Genomic DNA, 7845 nt, shown 5'->3' on the forward strand with positions numbered 1-7845 from the left:
ATGGAGAACAGCTTACGCTGGAGTCTGTGGTTTTCTCTGGGCCACCTTCATCTGTTTTTCCCAGCAGAGCGGTGACGGCACATTCAAGTCAGCTTTCACCATTTTATATACAAAGGGGACCAGTGCCACAGAAGGGTCCCCGGAGAAATGAGAAGTCAAGGACTCTCTTAAAGGGACCACATTTTGACCTAAAATGCACAGAATTGCCTGCAGACAAAATATTTGATGTGCCAATTATGCACTTCATTTTGAGGAATTACTACTATTTATAGACCCACTTTTAAAAAAATTATCAATGATTATTTTTTAATTGTATTCAGACATTTTTTCCTGATCTAGTCTGAAATATTACTTCTCTAATATTTTGGTTAATATGAATAACAGTGGCAAAATGGCATTTTAGAATTATTAATATTTCTAATATTTTAATGCAAGTTTCAGGAAACTTGGTTTCTTGGTTTTGATTGTTTACATTTCTATTCTAAAATCTCAGGTTATCTCCTGAACACTTTTGGACAGATGAAGTTTTACACCAAAAAATAGTTCTTAGAGTGAATTTTAATTTACATAGAACTCAATCGAAATGAAGATTTAATAACCAGATTTCTTTCCCCAAAACATACATAATTTGTTATTTTGATACTAAAATTTAGTAAATACCTTTTTTTTTTTTTTTTTGAGATGGAGTCTGGCTCTGTCACCCAGGCTGGAGTGCAGTGGTGCCATCTTGGCTCTCTGCAACCTCTGCCTCCTGGGTTCAAGCGATTCTCCTGCCTCAGCCTCCCAAGTAGCTAGGACTACAGTCGCCCAGCACCACGCCCAGCTAACTGGTGGTGGTAGAGACAGGGTTTTACCATGTTGGCCAGGCTGGTCTCCAGCTCCTGACCTCGTGATCCGCCCTCCTCAGCCTCCGAAAGTGCTGGGATTACAGCAGTCAGCCACTGCGTCCTGCCCCCAAATTTGCTTTGCATGGAGAAAACTCTAACAAGTCCTCTTGAACACAGTTTTCTGATAACCCAGATCAATGAACTACCCAGGCTTCACCACTATGCGATATAGGCATGTGAGAAACTCGTACTTATACCCCCTCAATACATTAAAACTAAATATATATATATATATATTTTTAAATCAATGGGCCAGGTGCAGTGGCTCACGCCTGTAATCTCAGCACTTTGGGAGGCCAAGGCGGGTGGATCACTTGCGGTCAGGAGTTCCAGATCAGCCTGGCCAGCCCGCCTCTACTAAAAATACAAAAATTAGCCAGGCGTGGTGGTGCATGTCTCCCACCACGGCTGGGAGGTGTGCCCAACAGCTCATTGAGAACGGGCCATGATGACAGTGGCGGTTTTGTGGAATAGAAAGGGGGGAAAGGTGGGGAAAAGATTGAGAAATCGGATGGTTGCCGTGTCTGTGTAGAAGGAAGTAGACATGGGAGACTTTTCATTTTGTTCTGTAGTAAGAAAAATTCTTCTGCCTTGGGATCCTGTTGATCTGTGACCTTACCCTCCCTCCACTATTGTCCTATGACCCTGCCAAATCCACCTCTGCGAGAAACACCCAAGAATGATCAATAAAAAAAAAAAAGAGTTCTGGAGATCAGTAAAAAAAAAAAAGAAACAGGGTTTCTCCATGTTGGTCAGGCTGGTCTGGAACTCCTGACTTCAGGTGATCTGCCCACTTTGGCCTCCCAAAGTGCTGGGATTACAGGCATGAGCCACTGTGCCTGGCCCCAAATGTGTTTTACATTTTCTTCCTATTTGATTCATCTTTGTCCTGCAACATAAATATGCTACTTTTCTACCGATAAAAAGACAAAATGGAATTTAAATCTGGCCTGGACTTCTCAAAAAAGTCAGTGTGATGAAAACATGTTCTAGATAAAACAGAAATGAGACTGGGCATGGTGGCTCATGCCTGGAATCCCAGCGCCTTCGGAGGCCAAGGCAGGAGAATCACTTGAGGCCAGGAGTTTGTGAACAGCCTGGGCAACATAGTGAGACCCCAGATCTACTAAAAATTTAAAAATTAGCTGGGCATGGTGGTGCATGCCCATATGTCTGGAGGCTGAGGCAGGAGGATCGCTTGAGCCCAGGATTTGGAGGCTGCAGTGAGCTATGATTGTGCCACTGCACTCCAGTGTGGGTGACAGAGTGAGACCCTGTCTCTAAAAAAAAAAAAGAGAGACAAGATGATCAGGATGAGCGCAGTGGCTCACGCCTATAATCCCAGCACTTTGGGAGGCCAAACCAGGTGGATCATATGAGGTCAGGAGTTCGAGACCAGCCTGGCCTAGATGGTGAAACCCCGTTTCTACTAAAAATACAAAAATCAGCTGGGTGTGGTGGCGCACACCTGTGATCCCAGCTACTCGGGAGGCTGAGGCGGGACAATTGCTTGAACCTGGGAGGCAGAAGTTGCTGTGAGCAAGATTACACCACTGTGCTCCAGCCTGGGCAACAGGAATGAGACTCTGTCTCAAAAAAAAAAAAAGGGGGGATGATCAAACACAATGCATCAACCTCCCGGAGCCATATAAACCCTAACCCTAACCCAGGAAGCAGGCAAGCCTGTGTGTGAGTTTCCACTCTATTGCTGGTACCACTCGGCTCTGGCAACCCGGAAGGCCACCTTCCCCTGTTGTTACTGTGTAAGGAGGAAGGAGCACTGGTTTGCAAGTCAGAAGCCTGGGTTGAAGCCTCTGCTCGGGTTCCTGCTGGCTGTGGGAATGTGGGGTTACCTTTCCTGGCTGGCCTCGTTTCCTTCATGTCCAATGCAGGGGTTCCAGTCACATGCATTGGGCACCATTACATGTCCAAGCTGTGCCAGGATCTAGAAAAATGGCTGGACTCAGGCCAAGGGGCCTTCCTGTCTGGCAGTGAAAATAAGAGGAGATACCAAGGGCCCTGAGTCTGGAGGGGAAGTCATGAGCACAGGGCAGTGCCAGGGCCCGGGAGCTGCCACAGAGGAGCCCACCTTGGTGACAGACACCTGTAGGCACATCCGTGATGCCCAGTGCCCAACACAGGGAACTGGACAAACGTTTCATGCACGACTCTTTTTTCCCTTCTTGGCTACCTTGAGGACCTTGATTATAATAGTTATCCTTTTTTTCTTTTTCTTTTTTTGAGACTCTTGCTCTGTCGTCCAGGTTGGAATGCAGTGGCAAAATCTTGGCTCACTGCAATCTTCACCTCTCAGGTTCAAGTGACTCTCCTTCCTCAGCCTCCCTAGTAGCTGGGATTACCGGTGTGCACCACTAGGCTCAGCTAATTTTTGTATTTTTACTACAGATGGGGTTTCACCATGTTGGCCAGGCTGATCTTGAACTGCTGACCTCAGGTGATCTGCCCACCTGGGCCTCCCAAAGTCTTGGGATTACAGGTGTGAGCCACTGAGCCCAGCCGGATTATAATAGCCTTTTCATGCACCAGGGGCTTTATACTCATTATCTCATTTCATTCATATGAGTTGAAGTCAGCTTACCCCCCATTTCACAGATGAGGAAACCAAGGCCCAGAGAGGTTAGGAATTCGTCCAAGGTCACACAGCTAGGAAGTAGGATTCAAACCCAGACAGCCAGGCTGTAACACCTAGGCTCTTCTCAGGCTCATGCCCTTCCCAGGGGTCTGGGAAGCCCTGACCTGCAGCCTGTCACCTTCGTTTACCCCCCAGCCTCCAGGATATTATGTGTGCACCGGCGTGGGATCCTGGAACTGGCAGGAATTGTGGGTTGTGTTAGTCCCTAGACTCCCATCGCCTATATGAAATATGGTTCCTTTTGTGGCTTGGGAGGCCATGGCCAGCCCTGCGATGCCATTGACTGGTGAGTGCATGCCTGGGACCAGGCTACAAAATCCCTCACACTCTGGGGTAGTCAAGGCTTATGAGGAAGTACCCAAAACTGAAGCTGGGGTTTGGTCCAGGGAGATCCCAGTGTGCAGTACTACTTTGCAGGCAGGCAGAGGCCTCTTGGATAACATGGCCAGTGAAGCCAGATCTTGGTACCAGCTGCCCCTTACCCTGGCCATGGGCTGAAAACGTTGCCTTAAAAAATTGGCCAGGAGCGGTGGCTAACTCCTGTAATCCCAGCACTTTGGGAGGCCGAGGTGGGCAGATCACTTGAGGTCAGGAGTTCAAGACCAGCCTGGCCAATATGGTGAAACCCCATCTCTACTAAAAATGCAAAAATTAGCTGTGTGTGGTGGCAGGCGTCTGTAATCTCAGCTACTGGGGAGACTGAGGCAGGAGAATTGCTTGAACCCGGGAGGTGGAGTTTGCAGTGAGTTGAGATTGCACCGCTGTATTCCAACCTGGACAACAGTGCCAAACCCTGTCTCAAAAGAAAAAAATAATAATAATATAAAGTGGCCAGGTGTGTTGACTCATGCCTGTAATCCCACCACTTTGGGTCGAGGCAGGAGGATCACTGGAGCCCAGGAGTTTGAAACGAGCCTAGGCAACAGAGTGAGACCCTGTCTCTATATTAAACACACACACACACACACACACACACACACACACACACACACACACACACACACACACACACACAAAGGCAGCCAGACTATGCACTAGGAACTGCCCTGGGAATCTCTTTGTGTTCTCACAACAATCCCATTTCACAGATGAAGAAACCTAGGCACAGAAATATTCAGTAACGTGTCCAGGTGCGGTGGCTCACGCCTGTAATCCCAGTACTTTGGGAGGCTGAGGCAGGCAGATCATGAGGTCAGGAGTTCGAGACCATCCTGGCCAACATGGTGAAACCCCGTCTCTACTAAAAATACAAAAATTAGCTGTGTGTGGTGGCAGGTGCCTGTAATTCCAGCTACTCAGGAAGCTGAGGCAGGAGAATTGCTTGAACCCGGGAGGCAGAGGTTGCAATGAACCGAGATCACACCACTGCACTCCAGCCTGGGTGACAGAGCAAAACTCCGTCTGAAAAAAAAAAAAAAAAAAAAAGAAATATTAAGTAACTTGTCTGAGGCCACTTAGTTACCAAGACGTGGGAGCTGGGACTTGAACCCAGGCAGTCTGGCTGGATTCATGCCTGCAGCCTCTGCACTCCTGCTACTTACTGTGTGAGAAGCGCCTGTTCTGTGGAAGGTTGTGGGCTGAGATCTTTCCATGAGTTCCACTCATTTACCCCCAAGGCTGTTCTTAAAGACGGGCATGACAGTTATGCCCATTTTACAGATGGGGCCCTGAGGCTCACAGGGGCATGCCACTCACCCATTTCCACAAAGCTATAGTTAGTTAGCAGAGGGCAGAATTCGGCCGCCTCTCCCCTAGCTTGAAGGCTGTGATTGACACAGAGGTTTTTTTGTTGTTGCTGTTGTTTGTTCCTTTTTCTTTTTTTTGAGACAGGGTCTTGCTCTGTCATCCCAGCTGGAGTGCAGTGGTGCGATGTCAGCTCACTGCAAACTCTGCCTCCAAGATGCAAATGATTCTCGTGCCTCAGCCTCCCAAGTAGCTGGAATTACAGGTGTGCACTACCACGCCCAGCTGTTTTTTGTAGAGATGGGGTTAGTAGAGATTTGTTTTATAGAGACGGGGTTTCACCATGGTCTCTACTAAACCCTGTCTCTACTAAAAATACAAAAATTACCCAGGCGTGGTGGCACATGCCTGTAGTCCCAGCTACTCAAGAGGCTGAGGCAGGAGAATCACTTGAACCTGGGAGGTGGAGGTTGCAGTGACCCAAAATCATGCACTCTAGCCTGGGGTCTCGCTTTTGCCCAGGTTAGAGTGCAGTGGCACAATCATAGTGGCTCACTGCAGCCTCAAACTCCTGGGCTGAAGGGAATCCTCCCACGTCAGCCTCCCAAGTAGCTAGGACTATAGGCATGTGCCATCATGGCGAGTTAATTTTTTGTGTGTTTTTATTGTCTTGAGACAGAGTCTTGCTCTGTTGCTCAGGCTGGACTGCAGTGGCATGATCTTGGCTCACCGCAACCTCCACCTCCTGGGTTCAAGCAATTCTCCTACCTCAGCCTCCCGAGTAGCTGGGATTACATGTGTGTGCCACCATGCCTGGCTAATTTTGTATTTTTAGTAGAGACAGGGTTTCGCCATGTTGGTCAGGCTGCTCTCGAACTCCTGACCTCGTGATCCACCTGCCTCGGCCTCTCAAAGTGTTGGGATTACAGGCATGAGCCACTGAGCCTGGCCTGGTGAGCTAATTTTTAAATTTGTTATAGAGACAAGAGTCTCTCTTATGTTGCCCAGGCTGGTCTCGACCCCCTGGCCTCAAGTGATCCTCCCACCTCAGCCTCCCAAAGTGCTGGGATTACAGATGGGTGTCACCGCACCTGGCCTCCGAGGAGGATTTCATTATAAACCTGCCCTGAAGGGAGGGAATCCAATTTTACGAGAGGGTGTAGCCTGGTGAGGCCTGGATGACCTCCGGAGGCAGGGGCTTGTGCCTGGGCTGAGGCCTAAGGGACAATGGGCAGACATGAAGTTGCCCCAGGCAGAGGGTACAGTGTGGGCAAAGTCAGGAAGTGGCAGGGCTTGGATCACTCCAGGAAGAGAGAGGAGTCATGTGTCACAGGAGCTCGAGACCCAGAGAGTGAGGCAGGCAGGCAGGGACCAAGCTTGGGCACAGCCAGGAAGGCAGGACAGGGCATGGTGGGGCCAATGGAATCATTACCCAAGACGGGCATTTTCAGGGAAACAGCTTAGATAAGGCCAGGCGTACAGTAGCTCCCACCTGTAATCCCAGCATTTGGGGAGGCTGAGGTAGGAGGACTGCTTGAGCCTGGGAGTTCAAGACCAGCCTAGGCAACATAGACCCCATATCCACAAAAAATTTAAAAAAGGAGTTTGTGTTCCTGTAGTAGCATACTTGGGAAGTTGAGGTGGCAGTATCACTTGAGCCCGGGAGTTCAAGGCTAAAGTGAGCTGATTGAGCCATTGCACCCCAGCCTGAGCGACAGAGAGATATGCTGTCTCAAAGGAAATACAAATTAAAAAACCAGCCGGGCATGCTGGCGTGTGCCTGTAGTCTCAGCTACTTGGGACACTGAAGTGGGAGGATCGCTTGAGCCCAGGAGTTCAAGGCTGCCGTGAGCTATGATTGTGCCTCTGCAGTCCAGCCTGGGCGACTGCAGACTGCAGGACTTTTTTAAAGACCCTGTCTCTTAAAAAAAAAAAAATCTTAGATAAGAGGATGCTGTGCCTCCCTGGGGGTCTTCAGTCACCCATGGTCCTGGCAAGAGAGGAGGGCCAGGAGAGAGCTTCACCCACCTGCTGTCCTGCCCGTGTGACATCCGCAGGTGCTGCCATGGCCACGACTGTTGTTACACTCGAGCTGAGGAGGCCGGCTGCAGCCCCAAGACAGAGCGCTACTCCTGGCAGTGCGTCAATCAGAGCGTCCTGTGCGATGAGTCCCCAGCAGCACCATGCCACCCACCCCGAGTATCCCCTGGGCACCCTGGCATAGCCAGATGACTTCCGTGCCCCTGTTGCAATAACCACTGCTTCCAAGTCTCTGTAGACCACCCCTTGGGTATATCTAATGTAAGTGATATTTATTTTATTTATATTTTTTGAGTCAGAGTCTCACTCTGTCACCCAGGCTAGAGTGTGCTGACGTGATCTTGGCTCACTACAACCTCTGCCTCCTGGGTTCAAGCGATTCTCATGCCTCAGCCTCCCAAGTGGCTAGGACTACAGACATGCACCATCACGCCCAGCTAATTTTTGTATTTTTTTCAGTAGAGGTGGGGTTTCACCAAGTTGGCCGGGCTGGTCTCAAACTCCCCACCTCAAGTGCTCTGCCCGCCTCGGCCTCCCAAAGTGCTGGGATTACAGGCATGAGCCATGGTGTCTGGCCCTAAT

The 7845-nt window shown here is 49.4% G+C and overlaps 1 pseudogene; it reads left to right on the plus strand.

Moving 5' to 3' along the window:
• Window positions 3675–7387, plus strand: PLA2G10HP (phospholipase A2 group XH, pseudogene; annotated as a pseudogene).

Source organism: Homo sapiens, chromosome 16 (genome assembly GCF_000001405.40).
Source record: "Homo sapiens chromosome 16, GRCh38.p14 Primary Assembly".
In the NCBI taxonomy this organism is placed as follows: Eukaryota; Metazoa; Chordata; class Mammalia; order Primates; family Hominidae; genus Homo; species Homo sapiens.